Source organism: Homo sapiens, chromosome X, assembly GCF_000001405.40.
Source record: "Homo sapiens chromosome X, GRCh38.p14 Primary Assembly".
NCBI classification, from domain to species: domain Eukaryota; kingdom Metazoa; phylum Chordata; class Mammalia; order Primates; family Hominidae; genus Homo; species Homo sapiens.
Genome location: NC_000023.11, coordinates 136,769,353 through 136,794,642, shown reverse-complemented (window position 1 = coordinate 136,794,642; position 25,290 = coordinate 136,769,353). Strand labels below are relative to the sequence as shown.

Sequence of the window (25,290 nt, the reverse complement as noted above, 5' to 3'; positions counted from 1 at the left end):
ACTAAGCTTAATATCAGGGTGATGAAATAATCTGTACAACAAACCGCCATGACACGAGCTTTCCTATATAACAAACCTGTACATGTACCCTTGAACTTAAAATAAAGGTTAAAAAAAAAGAAAATAAAGCTTGAAAGTAGGCAAGGGTCAGATATTGTAGGGCCTAGTAGTCAGATTATCTAAGTCCTTTGAATTTTATTCTAACTATGATGGAAAGCCATTGGAGAGTTGAGAGCAGGTGAAGGAGATTATCTCATTTGTGTTTTAAAAGAATTACTCTGGCTCCTTTGTAGAGAATAGACTGCATAAAGGAAAGAATAGAAGTGGATACCCCAGGTGAGGAGCTATTGGCAGTGATCCCGGTGAGAGACAATGTGGCTTAGGCCAGGGTAGCAGCAGGGGAGGAGGTGAGAGGAGCATTGGTTCTGGACTTGTGTAGAACTGACAGGACTTGTTGGTTGCCCTTATACAAAATGTAAGAGAAGGAGAGGAAGTAAAGCACAACTCCAAGGTTTTTAGACTTGATGATTTCAGTATTCACATAGATCAATCAAACCTCCTTGCCTCTCAGTTCCTTTAGGAAGAACTGGCTTGATGCGTGCATTGGGAGAAAAGATTAGGTGCCCAATTTGGGTCATACTGAGTTTGAGATTAGATCATCCAAATGGAGATAGTGAGTAGGCAATGGAAATATGAGTCTAGAGTTCAAAGTAGAGGTCAGGGCTGGGGATTTACTGCCATGAAGCTGGATGAAATCACCTAGGGAGTGAATGCAGATAGAAAAGTGAAGCTGCCCAGGGCCTGAGTCCTAAAGCACTCCCATATTTCATAACCTGAAAGATGAGGAGAAACTGGCAAAAGAGACAAACAGAAACCAAGGAGGCCAAAGGAAAACTGTGTGGAGTCATGGAAGCCAAATGAAAAATCTGTTTCAAACAGAGCCACTGCTAGGCCATATTATTCCTGTGTGAAAATAAAACAATACAAACAAAAAGCCCTATTTCTTCCTCAAGTAGAAGAAAACAATTAATATTCTATTTATTTTCCAATAAGAATGGTTACAAAACCCATATACTCATTTTGAATAAATTGTACAAATCAAATATTGAACACAAAGGTATAGACAATCCCAAAATTTAATCACAATTAGGAACTCAAAGCCACCAGGATATAATAATTTATTATAAAATAGTTTCACATTTTGCTTTTATCAAAACAAAATTCTTTACGGCAGTTTCAATGCTTGCTTGCTTGCTTGTCACTATATATGACAGTCTTTTAACATTGTACATATTAAGTAGTTCTTAATAAATTTTAATTTTGGGAAGATACATTCTTTAATGGTGGCCATTGTTGACAAAATTAATATGTCCTGAGAGCTCATGAGCTATTTGCAAATGTACCTGATAAATTATTGCTGCAAATACGTTGCAGCACTTCAACAAGAATCTTAATAGTTTTTTTTATTTTTTATTTTTTGAGACAGAGTCTTGCCGTGTCACCAGGCTGGAGTGCAGTGGCACGAACAGGGCTCACCGCAGCCTCGACCTCCTGGGCTCAAGCAATCCTCCCACCCCAGCCCCCCAAGTAGCTGAGACCACAGGAATGTGCCATCACGTCTGGCTAATTTTTAAATTTTTTGTTTGTAGAGGCAGGGTCTCCCTATGTTGCCCAGGCTTGTGTCAAACTCCTGGGTTTAAGTTAGCCTCCTGCCTCGGCCTCCCAAAGTGCTGGGATTACAGGCATAAGCCACGTCTGGCCTAGACTCTCACTAGATTTTAGTAATCAACTTTTTAGTTCCAGATTTTAGTTCCTCACACATTAAAAATCATCAATATCACACTCCATATATATTTTCATCAGTCATTTCAGTTGTAAAATTTTTGTAGATGTATTTGTTAATTTTATTATTAGTTTATATTATTATTTTATAATACTTAAGTTATATATGTTTTTTAGAACACTGTAAAGGCAATTATACTTGGCTGAATAATGGTCCCCCAAAGATATCAGTTCCTAATTCCTGGAACCTATAAATGTAACTTTATTTGGAAAGCAGATTTTTTTGCAGATGTAATTAAGTTGAGGATTTTTTTTTTTCCGAGAGAGGGTCTTGCTCTGTTGCCCAGGCTGGAGTGCAGTGGCACAATCTTGGCTCACTGCAACCTCCACCTCCTGGGCTCAGGTGATTCTCCCACCTCAACCTCCCGAGTAGCTGGGACCACAGGTGCCTGACACCTTGCCTGGCTAATTTTTTGTATTTTTGGTAGAGACGGGGTTTCACCATGTTGCCCAGGCTGGTTTTGAAATGCTGGGCTCAAGCAGTCTCCCTGCCTTCACCTCCCAAAGTGCTAGGATTACAAGCATGAAGCACCATGCCCAGCCCAAGTTGAGGATCTTGAGCTTAGGAGGTTATCCTGGATTGTCCAAGTGGGACATAATGCCATCACAAGTGTCTTTATAGGAAAGAGGCAGGGGGGAGACTACAGACACACAGAGGAGGTACTGTGAAGACAGACAGATTGTGGCTGCAAGCCGAGGAATGCCAGCAGCCACCAGAAGCTGGAAGAAGCAAGGAATGGATTCTCTCCTGAAATCTCTAAAGGAAGCATGGCCCTACTGACAGCTTGATTTCAGACTTCTGGCTTCCAGGAGACTGTGAGCAAATACATTTCTGTTGTTTTAAGCCACTAAATTTGTGGTAACTTGTTATAGCAGCCATAGGAAATGAATACAGCCATTATAATCTTTATTATAAATTTTTCCTTTAAATATGATATTTTATTTACTCATCTATTTCAATTTGAAAGCACGTACTGTTTATTAACTGACCAGATTAGAAAAATAATCACAGTAGACACCTTAGTTCATTCTTCTAAGAAGGCTGTTGATCTGGTCCTCCCTGTTGCCAGCATCTCCACCTTCTACAAAATGGGTGGTCTTTTTCTTCATCCCACCTCTTGGAGAGGATAATTTGAAGGGCCACATGAAGTTATTTGTTTCTTTGAAGTGTTTTCCAACAGTATAGATCTCATTAACAAGATCCTCCCTGCAGATGATACTGTATTTACCAAGAGATCAAGCAATCAAAGTGTTATCTCTCAAGGCAACTCACTTCTCATTGATTTTGCCATAACCACGCTTGTAGATTAGCTCATTTACTGACTTCAGCTTTGGGTACCCCCATGCAATATATGGTTTTACAATCATCAGCATGTTAATTGAATCCTTGTTGAGCTTTGCAAAGGTTCCATTGAAGATTTGACGAAGGCGAAGAAGCTGCAACACCTTTCGGACCTTTGGGCTCAGAGCATTGCTACCTCTGATCCTGATGACAAATGCCAATTTGGGTTTGTGGGTACATAGAAAGTTGCCAGCTTTTCTTGCCATCCTAGCTATTTTACTCTCAGCTCTGTACATTTGTCTATATTCCTTGTGATAGTGCTTCATTTTTTTCCTACAAAAGCTTCCTCCTTGCCTTTCAAAGCATCTTTTGGGCAAACTTCTCTCTCGGGCTCTGCGAAATTCCTCCACTTTTTCTTAAGGGTTTCTGGAACAGCAGGAAACTTCTTCTCTTTGACACCCTGTATGGTTTCAGCCAGAAAAGAGCTAAATATGATATTTTATACAATGATTTTTTTTTCTTTTGAGACAGAGCCTTGCTCTGCAACCTCTGCCTCAGCCTCCCGAGTAGCTGGGATTACAGGCGTGGGCCACCATGCCCAGATAAGTTTTGTATTTCTAATAGAGACGGAGTTTCACCATGTTGGCCAGTCTGGTCTCGAACTCCTGACCTCAGGTGATCTGCCTGCCTTGGCCTCCCAAAGTGCTGGGATTACAGGCGTGAGACACCGCGACTGGCCAAAATGCCCATTGACCCCGACGTGATAGGAACGATTTTTTTCTTTTTCCAACTTTTATTTTGATAATAGGTTCAGGAGTGCATGGGTAGGTTTGTTACATGGGTAAATTGCATGTCACAGGGGTTTGGTATACAGATTATTGCCCCAGGTAATGAAGATAGTACCCAACAGAATACCATTCTCAACATAGGCCCTGGGAAAAATTTCATGGTGAAGACTTCAAAAGTAATTGCAACAAAAACAAAAATTCATAAGTGAGATCTAATTAAACTAAAGAACCTCTGCACAGCAAAAGAAACTATCAACAGGGTAAACAGACAACCTACAGAATGGGAGAACATATTTGCAAACTATGCACCTGTCAAAAGTCTAATATCCAGAATTTATAAGGAATTTATATAATATTTTAAAAAGTTGAATTTGAAATTGATCATAGATTGGCTCTGTGGGGTTATATAGATCATATATGGGCTCAGATATACAGTTGAAATGAATTGTATTTTGCCTTTTTCTAGTGTTTCTATACTGGAGAAGTTGGTGTCAATTTTAAGAGACCATACAATTCGTTTAGCATTATTAATAAATTTTTCTTAAATAGTACTGTTCAGTTTTTGTCAAATAATTTCTAACTTCTTTCAATGCTTTAAGGAGAACCTGTACTTGGATGACAAATAGCCTTTTCAATTGTTATGACATGCCAAAAACAGCTCCTGATACTCACCAAACTCGCTTTTCCTCAAAGAACTGAGAAAACAGGATGTTGAATTGGTCGTGTATGGTCATATTGAAATCACCAATCTGAAATCCCTGAGTTCTTAAACTTAGAGTCTTTGAATTGTAAAAAAAAAAAAAAAATCACAGATATTAAGATATCTGTGATCGTGAATAGCACTGCTTTGTAAGGCTCTTGTGCAATGGACAACCTGAACCTCTTTTCTGCACAGAAAAGCGCATTACATACAGTGTGAGAGAACATGGATATTTAATGACATTTATTATGCATATTAGAATGGCATCAGTGAGGGGAATAGTGTTTGTGAATGAAGGAAAAAAATGGGAGGAGAGTTTTTATATGTATGATAAACTGAGTAGTATGATCAATTTAACCGTCTGCATCTGAAGTTGAGGAAACATTTAATGAATATTCAGTAAAAAGAGCTGCGTGTCTAGTCCTTTTGTTTTTTGAGACAGGGTCTCACTCTGTCGCCTGGACTGGTTTTGACTTACTGCAACTTCCGCCTCCCGGGGTCAAGAGATTCTCCTGCCTCAGCCTCCCCAGTAGCTGGGATTACGGGCGTGAGCCGCTGTGCCTGACCATCGTGTTTTTTTAAATAAGTACAATTAAGCATCTATTTTTACAAAGGGGATCAGACCATATGTGCTATTTTGCAATTTGCTTTTTAAACTTAGCATATTTTGGATATCTTTCCATGTCAGTACATGATTTATATCATTCTTTCTAGAAGCTGCTTAAGTATTTGATTTGATAGGTGCATTATAATTTAAGTCAATGCTCCATTGATATTTGATTTAAAAAAAAGAGTATTTTGCGTATTTATTATTTTATGGCAGAATGCCCAACATAGAGCAATATTGCAAGTATTCAACTGTGCAAAAATAGTATGTGGTGGTTTAGTACAAATGGGACTGCTTTAAAAAAATACTGAAACAAAACTTGATGGTACTATAAGAAACATTTAAACTAAGTGGTTTCTAGATCTGCTTAGCTTGAGATCTGTCCTCTGTAGACCTATAATGATGGTTGCTACTTCCGACCATGATCAATATACAGAATAATCAGTTCCAATGATCAAATGTGGTCACAGCGGGTCTCCTTCTCAGTATCTTTCTACAGACATGTCTACAGACATGATCTGGCCTGGATAAAAAGACAATGGAAATTTCTCAGTGGTTGAAAATAATAAGTATGGTACATATTCTCATGATTCTCTTGGTTCTCATTTCTAGTTAGATTGCACTTAGATGGTTTCTTCAGTTTGTCATACAGAATGAGCATTCCACCAATGCCCCTGAGAACATTGGACTATGCATCTTTGTTAAAGGCTTTTCCACATTCATCTTTAAAATCTTCACCCCACAATATATGAAGTTTCCGTTATATGTGATGTCAGTTCTTTGTGACCAGACTGCATCATCACCTACCCCATCGCAGTATGGAGTAGGGAAGAGAACACACTGGCCATCCAATTTAGTGATTTTACACACAGTCTTCTATGCCTTTGAATTTTTTTCCCTTGACAGGTTTCCCAATATTCGTTGCCCAGTGGGTTCTTGCAAAACCTAAGGAGTAGAAAAAGCTGAAAATGACTCCTGATGTACCACCAGAGGCCAGATTGTCAGCAAAATACCTCCAGAACCCAAGCTGCCCCTCCAGAAGAAGAGTATTCACTTCTCCTTGGGAAAACAGACTATATAATCCTCTATGCCTTTGTACTGTTTGTCAGAGGCAATATTTTTACACACACACTGTACCTCTGGCATTGTGAGACCCCTGGGGATCTTTCATTTCAAGAATATTACATAAATGAAGTCATACAGCATATAACTTTTTGAGACTGGCTTTTTTTACTCAGCATAATTCCCTTGTGATCCATCTGAGTTGTTGCATATATCAATAGTTTATTCCTTTTTAGTCCTGAGTAGTATGCCGTGATATGCATGTACCACAGTTTGTTTAACCATTTAACTATTGAAAAACTATTGTACATTATTTAAAGTGTACAATTCAATGGCTTTACGTATATTCATAGAATTGTCCAACCATCACCAAATCAATTTTAGAACATTCTTGTTATTGCTCCCCTTCCCCCTTAAAACCCTCATACCCATGAGTGATAACTTATCATTTCCTCTCAACACTCACCCCAGCCCTAGGCAACTGCTGTTCTACTTTATGTCTTTAGGGGTTTGTCTATTCTGAATATTTCGTATAAGTGAAATCATACAATATATTGTCTTTTGTGTCTGGCTTCCTTCATGTAGCATAATGTTTTCAAGGTTCGTTCAAGATGTAGCATGTATCAGTACTTCATTAATTTTTTATGACTAATATTCCATTATAACATTTTATTTATCAATTTATCAGGTGATGGACATTCGAGTTGTTTTCAATTTTTGCTATTATGAATAATGCTGCTGTGAGTACTTGTATATAAGTTTTTGCGTGGATATATGTTTTCATTTCCCTTGGAGTGGAATAACTGGGCCATATGGTAACTATGTTTAACATTTTGAGGAACTGCAAAACTGTTTTCCACAGCAGCCCCATCACTTTACACTCTCACTAGCATTGTATGAGGATTTCAGTTTCTCCACATTCTTGCCAACACTAGTTATTGTCTGTCTTTTTTATTATTGCCATCCTAATGGGTATGAAATGGAATCCCATTGTGGTTTTGATTTGCATTTCTCTGATTGCTAATGATGTTGAGCATCTTTCCACATGCTTATTGGCCATTTGTACCTCTTCTTTGTAGAAATGTTTACTCAGGCCGAGGCGGGCGGATCACAAGGTCAGGAGATCAAGACTATCCTGGCTAACATGGTGAAACTCCATCTCTACTAAAAATACAAAAAAAAAAAAAAAATTAGCCGGGTGTGGTGGTGGGTGCCTGTAGTCCCAGCTACTCGGGAGGCTGAGGCAGGAGAATGGAGGTGGAGCTTGCAGTGAGCAGAGATAGCGCCACTGCACTCCAGCCTGGGAGACAGAGTGAGACTCCGTCTCAGAAAAAAAAAAAAAAAACCAAGAATTGTCTACTCAATTTTTATCCATTATACTTATTTGTCTTTTTATTATTTAGTTATGAGTTCGTTATATATTCTAGATACAATTTCCTTATCAGATATTTGATTTGCAAATATTTTCCTCCCATTCTGTGAGTTGTCTTTTCGCTTTCTTGATGGTGTCCTTTTGATATGGTTTGGCTGTGTCCCCACCCAAATCTCATCTTGAATTGTAGTTCTCATAATCCCCACATATCATGGGAGGGACCTGGTGGGAGGTAACTGAATCATGGGGTCGGTTACTCCCGTGCTGTGTTCTCGTGATAGTGAGTGAGTTCTCAAGAGATCTGATGGTTTTATAAGGGGCTTTTCACCCTTTTGTTTGGCACTTCTCCTTGCTGCCACCATATGAAGAAGGACATGTTCGCTTCCCCTTCTGCCACGATTGTCAGTTTCCTGAGGCCTCCCCAACCATGCTGAACTGTGAGGCAATTAAACCTTTCCTTTATAAGTTACTCAGTGTTGGATATGTCTTTATTAGCAGCATGAGAATGGATTAATACACCTTTGAAGCACAAAAATTTTAATTTTAGTGAAGACCAATTTATCAATTTTTTTCCTTCTGTTGCTTGTTTTGTTGGTGTTATATCTAAGAAACCATTGCCTAAGCCAAGTTTACATAAATAGTCATTCTGAACTATGAGGTGACAAGCTAATTATGGCAGGAGAGTAGAATCCTGGGTCTCTGATGATTACGAAGCTGCATATTAGGCTTGGAAACCCAAATTCTACATTTATTTTACGCAACAGTGAGATAAAGTATTTTATTTTTAAAAATCAAGACCCTCTGTTCTTTAAAATACACATAAAATGAAAAACAAAGATATAAGAAGATATTTGCAAACACACATAAATGACATAAATTTCGTATCTATAATATATAACAAACTTTCACAAACCAATAACAAAAAGACAAACAACCCAATAGAAAAATGGGCAGTAGGAAGGAGTATCTCACAGAAGAGGAAACATATATGGCCAATAAGCATATTAAATGCTCAACCTCATTAGTAATCATAGAAATATAAATTTCATACCCATGAAATAACAAAATTTTAAGTCTGAAATATCAAGTCTTACCTATGACATGGAGCAATGGAAAATCATACCCTGCTTGTGGGAATGTAAATTTGTATAATCATTTTAGAAAAAAAAAGATTTGCAGATACCTATGAGGTCAAGGAATTGTAGTGGGAGTAACAAGCAAGCTGGAAAGATGGTAGGTTGTTTAGAAAATATAATGTTGGGTCGGGCACAGTGGCTCATGCCTGTGATCCCAGCACTTTGGGAGGCTGAGTCGGGTGGATCACAAAGTCAGGAGTTCGAGACCAGCTTGACCAACACGGTGAAACCCCGTCTCTACCAAAAAGGCAAAAAAAATTGGCCAGGCCTGGTGGTGCGCGCCTGTGGTCCCAGCTGCTCAGGAGGCTGGGGCAGGAGAATCGCTTGAACCTGGGAGGTGGAGGTTGCAGTGAGCCAAGATGGCGCCACTGCACTCCAGCCTGGGTGACAGAGCGAGACTCTGTCTCGAAAAAAAAAAAAAAAAAAAAAACTAATGTTGGAATTCATGACTTAGGAGACAGAGAAATTTGTGTGATAAAAAAGTACAAGGTGTAACCTTCCAAGAGGTTAGCTAAAGTGGAGAGGAAGTATACATTTAAGATAACAAGGTGTATCAGTTGGTGTCCAATCAGAACATAGACACTACATAGTATTTTTTTTTTTTTCTTGAGATGGAGTCTGGCTCTTGTCGCCCAGGCTGGAGTGCAATGGCACGATCTCAGCTCACTGCAAACTCTGACTCCCAGGTTCAAGCGATTCTCCTGCCTCAGCCTCCAGAGTAGCTGGGATTACAGATGCCCGCCACCATGCCTGGCTAATTTTTGTATTTTTATTAGAGACTGGGTTTCACCATGTTGGCCAGACTGGTCTCAAACTCCTGACCTCAGGTGATTTGCCCACCTTGGCCTCCCAAAGTACTGGGATTACAGGTGTGAACCACCGTGCCCAGCCTACTACATAGTAATTTTAACAAGAAGAGTTTAACATAAAGAATTAACAATAACAGGGGATTGGAGTGTTGAAGAATTGGTTAGTAATAAATAAAGGAAACTCTAAAAAGTATGGGATAGCAGATATAAATAGCAGACAATATAAAAATAATATGTAATGGCCGATACCTCTAGAGCTGTGATAACCCTCCTCTCCACCCACGGTCGAGATCCAGGCCTTATTGGAGAAGTTGCTCTGGTGCTGAGTTGGTGGAACTTGTTGGATGTACATTCTCTGGAACTTGCTGAAATATACCCCTCTACGGTGCTGGTTCACATGGAAGGTGTCTGTCTCATCAGAGATTCTTTGCTGCCTAAACACTCAAGGGTAGTGCCTGGGGAGGTTGCTACCTACTGTTTGTTGGGAAAACCAGTGCTGCAGAAGGTGGGCAATAGGAAAGCTGGGAGCTCAGCAGGAGCTTGTGGAGTGAGCGCACAGAAAACAGGAAGTAAAACCCCTTCTTCCTGCAATGTCTCTCCACCACTGCCTACTGATAAAACTTTGTATCATGCCAGCTGGCAAAGTCAGAAATATTTCAAGGTCCCAGGTCCATTTCACAGAATAGGCATAAAGGGGAAATGAGAGGTAATAAATTGATTACAGGTTGAGAAGTTCAAGGAACTGAGAGGTCTTGATGTTGGATTGTTGTTCTTGTGGATATTGAAATGACCCAAGTGTTGGCAGAAATTAGAGTGGTGTAGAAGGTTAGAGACCAATAAACTCATTTCTCTAAGTGTGACCTTGGTCTATCTGCATCAGAATCAAGTGGGATACTTTGATAACACAAATTCCTTTTTCCCACTGCAGATCTTCTGAACTGGAGTATCTGGGAAGAGAGCTCCCAAATATTCTTTTTTAGTAAGTGCCTTAGTAGATTTGAAATGAAAGAGAATCGGTTAGTAACATTTTAAACACACAAAACTAAATAGTAAAACAGGTACCAGTGTACCCAGCATTCAGTCTTAACAAATGTTCACATTTGCCTTATTTCCTGAAGATCTTTTGATTTTTCATGAAATGTTACCTATTTTAGCTTAAGTTCCACTCTCACCTTCCTTTCTCCTTTATGCCTCACAGGAGATGATCATATGAACATTGTTTTTTGTCAATTCCTGCTTTAGGCAATAGAGAGCCTTTGAGGGTTTTTGAACAGGGGTATTAACACTAGAGGTGTTTTTGGAAAATCAACCCAAATGTGCCCTGTTAGAGAGTTCATTAGGATGAGAGGATGGAGGTGGAAAGCCCTTGAAGAGGCAGGTTCAGTGGCCCAGAGGGTGTGGTACTGAGGATCTGAGGTAGGGTGAGAGATCTTTGCTTTTTTTTCTCATGCTCTTGTGTGAAGCCTGCTCTTTGTGTTGCTGTGACCCCCAGTCTTTGAATTCCCCCTCTTCCCCTATTCCCTCAGTTCATCAGCTCCTTTCTAGCTTCATTTGAGTCCCTAACCAGCCTGGGTTTCATGGGTACCCATTTCACCTATATGCTTGCCACTGCCCTGGAATTCCTTGCTTTGTTGACATTTTACCACACCAACTGTAACTTCCAATCTTTATACAAATAGAACTGGTTCTTTTGCCTTGAGGCAGTGGCCTTGCCATTCTGATATACTTTATTACTCATAGTAATATTTGCTATAGTGAGTGTCCAAAATGAGGCAGAGTTTTATCCAGATGACCTTGGTGAACTCAAGACTGTTTTGGAGGAGGCTGGGTTCACAAAACTTACTCAGGCTTTGTTCTTCATCAGAAGATGTAAGTGATACCTCAATAATACTGCCAGATTTTGTTTGTCTGTAGAGTAAAATTTTGATGAGCAGTTGTGAAAACTGTTCAGATGACATATAAAAATGTGTTTAAGTTCGTCAGATTTGGGAATTTTATTTATCAACAAATGTATTCTGTTTTTATTTCCATTACATAGATTTGGCCATGGGTCAACGTCAATGAAAACTTTTGATTGATTATACTTATTTTGCTTAAGTCACAAGTACATCAAGCAAACCTTGTTATAGAACTATGGACAGACACAATAACATGAATGAGTATGAAAATGATGATGTTGAGTTAAGAAGCCAGAAAAAAGATAGTACCATACTGTGTACTTCCATTTATATAAGATTCTTGAAAATGCAAACTAATCTATAGACACTGAAAATAGATTGGTGGTTGCCTGGCATTTGGAGGCAAAGAGGAAAGAAAGAATTGAAAGGGCACGAGGACAATTTTGGGGGTGATGGAAAGGCTTATCTGGATTGCATTTGTGTGATTGTATCAAAGATGTATGTATATGTCAAAATTCATTAAATCATATATATGCAGTTCCTTATGTGTCAATTACAGCTTAATAAAATGGTAAAAATCATTAACAAGAAAAAATGTTTGTTTTAAGCCATTTAAACCAACCAACAAACAAAAAATCCTTGCTATAATCAGTTACTGTCTATATCAGGGACACCATCTGAATACATTCATTTATTCATTCAGCATTTTTTAACATCTACTGTGTATACCTGGCAGTCTGCTGGTAACACAGTGTTAAATAAAAAAAAACAAGACCCCGAGTTTAGGAAGTTTACATTCTTGTGGAGGAGTCAGATCATCAGATCAACAAGTGATAATAGTAAAGTGTGACAAGTGTCCTGACAGAGCAAGAAAGGGCAGCTTTGAAAATGTTTAGTAGGGTTATCTAAGCTGATTCTTTGGTAGTAGATGCCTGAAGCTGTGTTGAAAAGAATTCTGAGGCTTAGTAGGAAAGAGCTATACATGATCTGATGTCTCCCATGCACGAGGAGAGGTAATCATGGTAAGTGCCACACATTTGCCAACATAGGGTTATACTATTAAAGTTGGCCTTATCATAAATTTCCCAATAGTATGCCTATTTCAAGTGGTTCTGAAAATGTTTGAGAATGATGAAGATCTCTTGTTATAGACAGTTTTTTTTTCAGAGCAGTATTTTAAGTGCAAAGTGTTTTTTTGTTGTTGTTGTTGTTGGGAAAATAAGAATCTTCCATATTGTAGTGTAGACAGAGGACAAGTGCTCTTTTGTTCTCAAACATTCTATTTTTTCAAGTGTATTTTACCCACTTATGTGACTGAGTCTGAGCCTTTGCTAAGGGTACTGCAGCTGGATTATGTAGTGGAACCAGGTCCAGAAAAAGAATTGCTAAAGAATGCAAGTAAACAGGATGTCAGATGTTATCCTTAGCCTATTTCCCTAAACATAGCTTTTTGGCTGCAAAGTAAAATGCCATTCTTCTAGCTTCTGCTTATACACAGTGATGGCTGACAGCAGGCATAATCTTCGTTTGCTTGGCACGTTGTCACCATGCAACTCAACGTGTTTTGCAAGGAATGATCGTGACACACCATCTCTGGGAGATACTATGAGGACATCCGGCTATTTCTTGGAAGAATTTTCTGTCTACCTTCTTTGAGCCCTGTTGTGCCAGCACATCTCCCCATGAGGCTCAGATCTGTCTGACCTAAGAGCCAGTTGGCATCGTCCTCCTAACAGAAGCCAGATTTTCACTGGGGCTAGACTATTTATTGACAGTGTTTTCCCAGACTGGCCCATGAGTGTCTCATTTCCAAGGTCCCCTGAAGTGCTGGCTCACCTCTGTTTCCCAAAGCACTTGCTTGCTTGTCTCTCCTCCCTCCCCAGCATCCTTTTCACTTTCTTCCCTTATAACTTCTTGCACTCTGTGTGCGTGTGTGTGTATGCGTGTGTGCATGTGCGTTTCTTCTTTTTTTTTATCCTAACGAATTTGTTTTGCAGGTTTTGAAAAGGAAAAACCAGCGTTATCCAGGATTGTTAAATTAATTCTTATCTGTTTCCACATCTTGGACCGTGATCTCTGTGGTTTTAAAATCCCATATTTTGAGTGGGTTCCGCTGTTGTTTAAGAAAAGTTGCTTTAAACCTTTGCTCTGCAAGCACCCGAAGAGAACTCATAAAAAGGAAGACAACAGCAGATGCAATCGCGGATGTGGCTTAGTCCTTGCAGCTGCCCCAGAGTGCTGTTTGGAGTGTACCGTCCTCAGTAATGAATCCAGAAGAACAAATCGTGACATGGCTTATATCTTTGGGAGTTTTAGAGTCCCCTAAAAAGACCATCTGTGATCCGGAGGAGTTTTTAAAGTCCTCGCTGAAAAATGGGGTAGTTCTGTGCAAACTGATCAACAGACTCATGCCTGGCTCTGTGGAAAAGGTAAGGGAAATTTGCAGTCTCTTTGGGATTGCTTATCACCAGAGAGCAGCAATCATGTAACTCTTGAGATTTTTCTATTTCCCAGGCCATGGGAATCTCCTACTTTAATATTTTTCTAAGAGTTAGACATTCTTTCTTACTGTTTTTGTAGTTTGAAAATGTAAGAAAATGAAACGTTATTCTTTAGTAATTGGCCCCCAAATTGTAGTATAGGGAAAACCTGTGACACCACTGGCAACAAGGGACAAGGAGAACACTCATATCACAAGCTTGCTCTATCATGGAGATGCATGTTACATCTCCTTGTGTACCGAGGACATGTTTTGAACTTGGGGTACTTATGAGTCTGTGGAAAAATAGAATGATTTATAACAGATCTTGGTGGTGTTTATTGGCAGTTTGATTAAAATCAGTGTAGATTTCCTTTTAGAAAAATCCATTGAAGGAGAGACTATATAGCAACTAGGAAAAAAATAATTCAAAATGTCACATAAAGTTTGTAAAAGCAATAGAAACCAGATATATGTTTCGAATGCAATGTGCGTTCAAAGTGAAACTAACTTTACTCTCTTTAAAACAATTCAAGATTTTTAATAGCTGGAAATCCACGATCACGAGAATAGATAATTTCTAAAGTAGGCACTTTAAGTAAGCTTAAAGGTACAATTTTACATTTACTTTCTTAAGGTCATCATGGACTGTGAGCATAGCACTTTTGCCTTCATGAGCCAGTTTGTATTTTTATTGAGCAAATAAATTTACTTATAATTTCTTAAACTTGAGAAAGAGTGATTAAATAGTGATAAAATGTAAAGAAGTGTGGTCAAATGTAGAGGGGAAATAGAATTTTATTAAATTATCAGGGGGAAGGAGGAGAGAGAGGTACCAGGGATTGCTTCCTTTCTTGAAAGCAAGAACTAAGCTCAAAAAACTGTCTTGGTCTCCCTAATTTGCCATCAGCACACTGGAACAGAAGGCATGAGAGAAAGCTTGTAAGTAGACATGGCTTGCCACTAAAGGTTTGGTGACATTTGAAACAAAGATCGACCGTTTAGATTTTTGCATCACTTCCTTCAGTGGTTATTTCTCTTCCTGGATTGACAGCAGTGTTGCCCCACACCTTAAGAGGCCTGCTTTCTCTAGTTATCAGCAAATGATGAGTATACTTTGCTTGGCATGGGATGACAATCTCCAAGTGACATTTCACTGTGTTCCTCTAGTTTTGTCTGGATCCCCAAACTGAAGCTGACTGCATCAACAACATCAATGACTTCCTGAAAGGATGTGCAACCCTCCAAGTGGAAGTAAGCCTACCCCGGGTGCCTTCCCTGTTGTCATCGTTTTTTTGCTCTGCTAATCAAGATTGGTAGTAAGAGTACTTGTTTATTTTCACTGTCATTGGCCACTGAGTTAAACAGAGGTAGCAGACTGGTGGTCCCCAGTAATGGATTGCTAGTCTGTCTTTTCCAGAAACCAGTTCCAAGCAAAACAAAACAAAATAAAAACTCACACAATAATGCCTTTTATATACAGCATCCAAGCCCTGTAAACAGGCTTCCAGTGACAGAGCTTGTGTGGGTGTGTTCTCCTACTAAGGGGAACCAAAAGTGGGCCACTGACTGTTGGAGAGGGTCACTGTAATCCTCCCAAGTTGAGAAAAGAGGAAAGGCCATTGTTACTCCTTCCCATTAACACTTTAGAACAGAGGCCTTGAAAAGCTGAGAGAACTTGGCTTTGAGGTAGAAATTGTATAGTAAATTTTGTGGCATTATTTTATATTATATGGATCCCTACAGTGTGTATAGGAAGTGTTACTGAAAGGGAGGTGATACTTCCACACGAGCATCAAGTTGCTTAACTTCTCTGTGCTTCAGTATTTTTATCTGTAAAACGGACATGCTAATAGCCAACTCATGGGATTGCTTTAAGAATCAAATAAGGCCGGGCATGATGGCTCATGCCTTTAATCCTAGGCCAAGGCAGAAGGATTGCTATAGCCCAGGAGTTCGAGACCAGCCTGGACAGTATGGTGAAATGGTGACTCTACAAAAAATACAAAAATTAGGCAGGCGTGGTGGCTTGTGCCTGTAGTCCCAGCTACTCGGGAGGCTGAGGTGGGAGGATCGCTTGAACCCAAGAGGTGGTGGAGGTTGCAGTGAGCTGTGATTGCACCACTGCACTCCAGCCTGAATGACAGAAAGAGACCTTGTCTCGAAAAAAAAAAAAAGAATCAAATAAGATACTGCATAATAATTTAGGGCCAAGAGCTCCAACCTTGTAAGATCTATGAGATAATTTATGTAGAGTCCTTAGCATAGGGCCTGGGACAGAAGAAGTACTCTATATTAATAGACTAGTATTAGTCATATTATCCGTGGACAAATAGTTGTGGTTTAAGCATGGACTGTGGTGCTAAACTTTTTGGGTTCAAATCTCAGTTCTCTCTTACTAGCAGCTTTGTGACCTTGGGCATGTTACTTAACTATGACTCTAGGCCTCAGTCTTCCTACCTACAAAATGGGAATAATAGTGGCACCGAATTCATAGGACTCGTGTGACCTTTTTAAAAAATATTATTTCAATAGTTTGGGAGGAACAGGTAGGTGGTGTTTGGTTACATGGATAAGTTATTCAGTGGTGATTTCTGAGATTTTGGTGCATCCATCACTTGAGCAGTGTACACTGTACCCAATGTAGAGTCTTTTATCCCTCACCCTACTCCCACCCTTCCCCCTGAGTCCCCAGAGCCCATTACATCATTCCTATGCCTTTGCATCCTCATAGCTTAGCTCCCCCTTATAAGTGAGAACATATGATGTTTGGTTTTCCATTCCTGAGTTACTTCCCTTAGAATAATGGTCTCCACCTCCACCCAGGTTGTCGTGAATGCCATTATTTTGTTCCTTCTTATGGCTGAGTAGTATTCCATGGTGTGTGTGTGTGTGTGTGTGTGTGTATGTATACATATTATATATATGTATATTACATTTTCTTTATCCACTCTTTGGCTGATGGGCATTTAGGCTGGGTCCATAACTTTGCAATTGCAAATTGTGCTACTATAAATATGTGTGTGCAAGTGTCCTTTTCATATAGTGACTTCTTTTCCTCTGGGTAGATACTCAGTAGTAGGATTACTGGATCAAATGGTAGTTCTACTTTTACTTCTTTAAGGAATCTCCATACTTAAGGTTTTCCATAGTGGTTGTACTAGTTTACATTCCCACCAGCAGTGTAGAAGTGTTTCCTTTTCACCACATTCATGCCAACATCTAATATTTTTTGTTTTTTTTTTAATTGTGGCCATTTCTGCAGGAGTGAGGTGATATCTCATTGTGGTTTGATTTGCATTTCCAGTGCTTAGTGATGTTGAGCATTTTTTCATATGTTTCTTGGCCATTTGTATATGTTCTTTGAGAATTGTCTATTCATGTCCTTAGCCCACTTTTTGATGGGATTATTTGTTTTTTGTTTTTGTTTTGTTTTGTTTTTTGAGACTGAGTCTCACTCTGTTGCCCAAGCTGGAATGCAGTGGTGTGATCTTGGCTCACTGCAACCTCTACCTCCCTGGTTCCAGCGATTCTCCTGCCTCAGCCTCCTGAGTAGCTGGGAATACAGGCGCCCGCCACCATGCCTGGCTAATTTTTGTGTTGTTAGTAGAGACAGGGTTTCACTATGTTGGCCAGGCTGGTCTCAAACTCCTGACCTCAGGTGATCCGCCCGCCTGGGTCTCCCAAAGTGCTGGGATTACAGGCGTGAGCCACCGCACCCGGCCTATTTGTTTATTTTTATTTCTACTTTATTTATTTATTTATTTATTTATTTATTTATTTATTTATCTATTTATTTATTTTTGCTGATTTGTTTGAGTTCCTTGTCGATTCTGGATATTAGACCTTTGTCAGATGCATAGTTTGGGAATATTTTCTCCCACATTGTGAGTTGTCTGTTTACTCTGCTGATTATTTATTTTGCTGTGCAGAAATTTTTTAGTTTAATTAGGTCCCATCTATTTATCTTTGTTTTTGTTGCCTTTGTTTTTGAGTTCTTGGTCATGAACTCTTTGCCAAAGCCAATACCTAGAAGAGTTTTTCCAATGTTGTCTTCTAGAATTTTTATGATTTCAGGTCTTAGATTTAAGTCCTTGGTCCATCTTGAGTTGATTTTTGTAGAGAGGTGAGAGATGAGAGATGCGGTGAGAGATGAGGATCCAGGTTCATTCTCCTACATGTGGCTTGCCAAATATCCCAGCACCATTTGTTGAATAGGGTGTCCTTTCCCCAGTTTATGTTTTTGTTTGCTTTGTCAAAGACCAGTTGGCTGTAAGTATTGGGCTTTATTTCTGGGTTCTCTATTCTGTGTCATTGGTTTATGTGCCTATTTTTATACCACTACCATGCTATTTTGGTAACTACAGGCTTGTAGTATAGTTTGAAGTCGGGTAATGTGATGCCTCTAGATTTGTTCTTTTTGTTTAATCTTGCTTTGGCTATGTGTGTTCTTTTTGGGTTTCATATGAATTTTAGGATTGTTTTTTCTAGTTCTGTCAAGAATTATTATGGTATTTTGATGGGAATTGCGTTGAATTTGTAGATTGTTTTTAGCAGTATGGTCTTTTTCACAATATTGATTCTACCCATCCATGAGCATGGGATGTGTTTCCATTTGTTTGTGTCATCTATGATTTCTTTCAGCAGTGTTTTGTAGTTTTCCTTGTAGAGATCTTTCACCTCCTGGGTTAGGTATATGCCTAAGTATATTATTTTTTTTGCAGCTGTTGTAAAAGGGGTTGAGTTCTTGATTTGATTCTCAGCTTGGTTGCTGTTGGTGTATAGTAGTGTTACTGACATATTGATTTTGTATCCTGAACTTTACTGAATTCATTTTTCAGATCTAGGAGCTTTTTGGATGAGTCTTTAGGGTTTTCTAGGTATACAATCATATCATCAGCAAACAGTGAGAGTTTGACTTCCTCTTTACCGATTTGGATGCCCCTTATTTCTTTCTTTTGTCTGATTGCTCTGGCTAGGACTTCCAGGACTATGTTGAACAGAAATGGTGAAAGGGGGCATCCTTGTCCAGTTCCAGTTCTCAGGAAGAATGTTTTCATCTTTTCCCTGTTCAATATAATGTTGGCTGTGGGTTTGTCATAGATGGCTTTTATTACCTTAAGGTATGTCCCTTCCATGCTGATTTTGTGGAGGGTTTTAATCATAAAGGGATGCTGGATTTTGTCAAATGCTTTTTCTGCATCTATTGAGATGATCATGTGATTTTTGTTTTTAATTCTGTTTATGTGGTGTATCACATTTATTGACTTGCATGTGTTAAACCAAACCTGCATCCCTGGTATGAAACCCATTTGATCATGGTGTATTATCTTTTTGATATGGTATTGGATTCAGTTACCTAGTATTTTGTTGAGAATTTTTGCATCTATGTTCATCAGGGGTACTGGTCTGTAGTTTTCTTTTTTTGTCATGTCTGTTTCTGGTTTTGGTTTGAGGGTAATACTGGCTTCATAGAATGATTTAGGGAGGATTATCTCTCTCTGTCTTTTGGGATAGTTTTAGAAGGATTGGTACCAATTTTTCTTTGAATGTCTGATAGAATCATGTGACATTTCAAGGAATTCATATATGTAAAGGCCCCAGAAGAGTGCCCGGAATGTAGTAAGTATTCTCTGCATGGTAGATATTATTATTAGCAATGCTGGTAGCTTTGCCCCAGATAAACTTTGCTTCCTTCACCATTTTTCCTAAAGTTAGCCCTAGGACCAGGTTATATCTGTTTCAGAATATTTTATTCCATTTTCCCCTATTGCCTAATTTGCACTCTCTCTCTCAATCTCTGTTTCTTTCTCTCTCTCTATTTATGTGTGGGTCTGTGTGTGTGACTTTTGAGGTAGGTGTGATGGGTGACCACTTTATATCCCTTGTAGAATAATGTCTACTATGGAATTTTCTTTTTTTTTTCTATTATGGTCCAGACTCTTCAGGAAATTTTAAATTTTTCTTTAATAAATACTATGATATTTTCTTTTTTATTCCTTTTTTTTTTTTTTTTTGAGACAGAGTTTTGCTCTGTCACCCAGTCTGGAGTGCAGTGGTGTCATCTCTGCTCACTGCAACCTCTGCCTCCTGGGCTCAAGCAATTCTCATGCCTCAGCCTCTCAAGTAGCTGGGATTACAGGCACGCGCCACCACGCCCGGCTAATTTTTGTATTTTTAGTAGAGACGGAGTTTCACCATGTTGGCCAGGCTGATCTCAAGCTCCTGACCTCAAGTGATCTGCCCACCTTGGCATCCCAAAATGCTGGGATTACAGGCATGAGCCACCACGCCTGGCCAATACTATGGTATTTTTTTTTTTCAAATAAAAACATGGTGAAGTTGCCAATGATTTCTGCATTCTAAAGCTGCCAGAAGGTTTACTTAGCTTCTTTGCAGTTCTAAGAATACTGGATGATACAGAAACACCTTCCAGGTTAGGCATTGTTCAGGATTTTTCTGATAACTAATGCTTACTCCTTTAAGCACCAATGCTTAAAATATTCTTCCACTTTGGATAGAAATATTTATTGTTTAAAAAAATTATGTTTATTACTTTTATTTTTTTATGGGACACTTCACAAATTTTTGTGTTATTCTCGTACAGGGGCCATATGAATATTCTCTGTATCGTTCCAATTTTAGTATATGGGCTGCTGAAGTGAGCACAAGATAGAAATATTTCTAAAATGTATGTCTTAATTTTCTCTCTTCTTAAATAAAAGGCACTGGAAACACTTTTATCTCTTTTTGGTAATTCATGCTGACCTGGGCATTATATGAATATTGTAATGAGGCAATATCTGACATCGTGGTTAAGCACATGCCTTCTCTAGTTTGGCAGACCTAGATTAGAATCTTGGCTTGGTCAATTACTGGCTGCATAACTCTGGGACAGTTACTTGACCTCTCTATGCTCCTTTTTCCTCATCTGTATAATGGAGACATTAATAGTATCTGCTGTATATGATTGTTTTAAGGATCAAATGAGATAATACATCCAAGGCACTTAATATAGCACTGCACATAAGGCATACACAATAGCTGTTTTCTGTGGTGTTATTACTCGGTAATGTTCTCTGCATTGTTGTGTGCAAAATTATTCTTGTAAGGTATATATAGGAGCCATATTGAGGCACTCCTAGAACCCAGAAAGAAGACTAATAAAATCAATACATAAGGAATGAGACCGAAAGCTGAGCTGGGGAGCACGAAGCAGCCAAGAAGACTCATCATCTTGTCTGAAGCTTCCAGGTAGCTGGAAGACAGACTTAAACATAAATATTTGCAAATGTCCCTGGATAGAGTCTCTCTCGGGCCCAAAGTGCCTGGCACAGTGCCTGGCATAGGACATACCTAATAGATTTTTGTTGACCCTATAAAACTGTAGATGTACAAAAAGCAAGAAGAGCAGGGCTTGACTGTTGCTTAGAACACAATATTATTTATCTAAAGAAAGCATACCGGCTTGAAATTGTCAGCTTGGAAATGCAGAAAAATGGAGCCGCAGATGCAGCACCGTACCGACAAATTGAGTACTGGGCTCTGGGGCATGGTGACGACATTAAAAAAGCTGTTGCCTTCTGGTCCTCTGGGTGGCCAGTCGGCTTCTCCAAGTAACCCCCATCTGTGTGTTCTCATATGGCTACAATGTCTTAGGGTCTTTAGAGGATCACACATTTAGTAACTGATCAGGAAAGTCTGCTGAGACATCTGGGAACAAAGTGCTCTCGGAAGCACCCCACCACCTTCTTGATAGTGTCCTTTGTAACACAATTTTTTTTGTTGTTGTTGTCTGTTTGTTTGAGACGGAGTCTTGCTCTGTCTCCCAGGCTGGAGTGCAGTGGCACAATCTTGGCTCACGGCAACTTTGGCCTCTTGGGTTCAAGTGATTCTCATGCCTCAGCCTCCCAAGTAGCTGGGATTACAGGTGCCTGCCACTATGCCTGGCTAATTTTTGTATTTTTAAGTAGAGACGGGGTTTTGCCATATTGTCCAGCCTCTCCTGGCCTCAAGTGATCCACCTGCCTCAGCCTCCCAAAAGGCTGGGATTACAGGCGTAAGCCACTGTGCCTGGCCCACAAAAATTTATTAATTAGACATTTTTGTTTTTTACTTTCAATTTTTGTGGGTACATAGCAGGTGTATATATTTGTGGGGTACATGAAATGTTGTGATACAGGCATGCAATGTGTAATAATCCCATCATGGAGAGTGGGGTATCCATACCCTCAAGCATTTATCCTTTGTGTTACAAACAATTCAATTACACTCTTTAAGTTATTTTAATAAGTACAATTATTATTGACTATAGTCACCCTGTTGTGCTATCAAATGGGCCTTATTCATTCTTTCAATTTTTTTTGTACCCATTAACCATTCCTGCCTCCTTCCCCAATATACTTCTCAGCCTCTGGTAACCTGTCTTCTACTCTCTATGCCCATTAGTTCAATTGTTTTTATTTTTAGATCCCACAAATAAGTGAGGACATGTGATGTTTGTCTTTCTGTACCTGGCTTATTTCACTTAACATAATGATCTCTAGTTCCATCCATGTTGTTGCAAATGACTGATTCTCATTCTTCTTTATGGCTGAATAGTACTCCATTGTGTATACATACCACATTTTCTTTATCCATTCATTTGTTGGTGGACAGTTAGGTTGCTTCCAAATCTTAGCTATTTGTGAACAGTACTGCAACAAACATAGGAGCGCCGTTATCTCTTCCATATACTGATTTCCTTTCTTTTGGGTAACATACCCAGCAGTGGGATTGCTGGATCATATGGTAGCTCAATTTTCAGTTTTTCGAGGCACCTCCAAACTGTCCATAATGGTTGTATTAATTTACGTTCCCACCAGCAGTGTATGAGGGTTCCCTTTTCTCCACATCCTCTCCAGCATTTGTTATTGCCTGTCCAAAAGTTTTTAATTTTGATGAAGTCAAATTCATCTCTTTTGTTGCTTGTGCTTTTGGTGTCATATCTAAGAAACTCATAATCAAATGTCTTGAAGAATTTTTTTCCTGTTTTCTCCTAAGAATAATATAGTTTTACTTCTTACATTAAGGTCTTTGATCTATTTTGAGTTAATTTTTGTATATGGTAGGAGGTACGGGTCCAAATTCATTCTTTTGCATATGCACATCCAGTTGTTTCAGTAACATTTGTTGAAAAGACAACATTAGCCAATTCCTCCATTGAACTGATTAATGTAGCTACGTAGTAAGTTTTAAAAGCGGGTCCTTCAACTTTGTTCTTCATTTTCAAAATCACTTTGGCCATTCTGGATCCCTCGCATGTCCATATGAATTTTAGGATCAGCTTGTCAATTTCTACAAAAAAGGCCAGCTGAGATTTTGATAGTGATTGTGTTCAATCTATAGATTGCTTTGGAGAGTGTTGCCATCTTAATAATATTAAATGTTTGAATCCATGAACATGGGATGTATTTCCACTTATTTGTCTTATGGGATGTATTTCCACTTATTTGTCTTTAGTTTCATTCAGCAATATTATGTACTTTTCAGTGTACATGTCTTATACCTGCTTGGTTCAATTTATTCCAAAGGATTTTATTATTTTTGGTGTTATAAAAAAATAGGATTGTTTTCTTGATTTGGTATTTAAATTGTTCACTGCAAGTGTATAGAAATATAATTATTTTTTTGAGACAAGGTCTTACTCTGTTGCCCAGGCTGGAGTGCAGTGGTGTGATTACAGCTCACTGCAGTCTCAAACTCCTGGGCTCAGGTGATTGTCCTACCTCAGCCACCTGAGTAGCTGTGACCACAGGTGTGGAGCACCATGCTTGGCTAATTTTTGTATTTTTTATAGATACAGGGTTTCACAATGTAGCCCAGGCTGGTCTCGAGCTCCTGAGCTCAAGTGATCCACCTGTCTTTGGCCTCCCAAAGTGCTGGGATTACAGGTGTGAGCCACGGTGCCTGCCCTATTGATTTTTTAATATTCATCTTGTATTCTTCACTTCCAAGAACTTATTCATTAGTTTGAATAGTTTTTTAGTGGATTCCCATATGGTTTTCTTATACAAGAGTATGCCATTGGTGAATAGAGATAGTTTTACTTCTTCCTTTACAATCTGGATGCCTTTTATTTCATTTTCTTCCCTAATTTTTCTGGCTGGAACCTCTGGTACAATGTTTAATAGAAGTGATGAGAGCAGACAGTCTTTCACCATTGAGTACGATGTTAGATGTGGGTTTTTGGTAAATGGCCTTTATCAGATTGAGGTTTCTTTATATTCTGAGTTTGTTATAAGTGTTTTGTTTTGTTTTTTATCATGAAAAGAGTTGGATTTTGTCAAATGCTTTTTCTACGTCTGTTAAAATGATCACTGGTTTTTGTTTGTTATTATATTTGTATGCTGTATTACATCAATTGATTTTCATATATTAAATCAATCTTGCATTCCTGGGATAAAACCCAGTAGATCATGTTATATATGCACATAGAAATTTGTGCACATCAGTGATTATTCTTGAAGGATCTTTCTTCACAGAAATGGGATTACTGTGTAAAATTGTGATAGATAATGTCAAATTGCCCTTCAAAAATGTTATACCAAGTTACACTCTCAGCAATAGTGTAAACAGTGTCTTCTTCCTGTCCCTGGCAACACTGGATATTATTTGTCTTTAATGTTTGCTAAACTGATGGATGAAAATGGCATTTCATTTATTGCTGTAATTTGTATTTCATGATTACTAATGAGTTTGGACATCCTCTTATCCCTTTATAGTCTATTTGTATTTCCTTTTTGTGAACCAAATATATCTTTCTTACTTTCTTACAGAATGGAGAAGGCAGGGAAAATACTCAGGTCCCAAGTGAAGTTTCCAGAATATATGGAAGAATCCTCCTGTCTAGGTAGAGGGTCACTGATGTCTCTCAACAACACAAGTTCTAGCAATGGCAGTTTTATTTTTGTGTTGCCCCTGAAGTTGCTGAGAGTTGGGGACACCTACAATTCTTCCGATCAGTCAAGAATGGCCTGGGTAGTACCTCTTTGATTGCATTGTCCTGGCTACAACTACATGACCGACTGGTCTCTGAAAGCTCTAAACCTATGGTTTTCCTGTTAGCCAACCCTTTCCTCTGCCTTATCCCCAGAAGGTAATCTGCCTTTGTCCTCTTCCACCATTACTACCAACCCATTGCCAGGGACACCCTACCATCTCCTATTCTGCTCCTGAGCCAAGTTTATTATTTATTTATTTATTTTTATTTATTTTTGAGATGGAGTCTCGCTCTGTCACCCAGCTGGAGTGCAGTGGCGTGATCTAGGCTCACT

General features: G+C 39.0%; 1 protein-coding gene and 3 pseudogenes across 7 annotated transcripts in view, besides 1 other annotated feature; 1 reads left to right on the top strand and 3 right to left on the bottom strand.

The window, feature by feature from the left end:
• Window positions 2,792-3,606, bottom strand: RPL7P56 (ribosomal protein L7 pseudogene 56; annotated as a pseudogene).
• Window positions 5,851-6,359, bottom strand: LOC100422685 (solute carrier family 25 member 6 pseudogene; annotated as a pseudogene).
• Window positions 13,711-25,290, top strand: part of ARHGEF6 (Rac/Cdc42 guanine nucleotide exchange factor 6) — a 115,383-nt gene continuing 103,803 nt past the window's right edge. For all 7 annotated transcript variants that reach the window (NM_001440993.1, NM_001440996.1, NM_004840.3 and 4 more), the window contains exons 1-2: window positions 13,711-13,925; window positions 15,146-15,229. In NM_001440993.1, the coding sequence (NP_001427922.1) occupies window positions 13,761-13,925; window positions 15,146-15,229 (249 nt within the window). In that variant the 5' untranslated portion in view covers window positions 13,711-13,760. The remainder of the gene's footprint in view (window positions 13,926-15,145; window positions 15,230-25,290) is intronic.
• Window positions 15,056-15,275: an enhancer, noted in NCBI's record as "active region_29996". NCBI's record gives its function as "activates an Ori minimal core promoter by ATAC-STARR-seq in GM12878 lymphoblastoid cells {active_cell/tissue: GM12878}" and the evidence as "EXISTENCE:reporter gene assay evidence [ECO:0000049][PMID:35858748]".
• Window positions 20,543-20,644, bottom strand: RNU6-972P (RNA, U6 small nuclear 972, pseudogene; annotated as a pseudogene).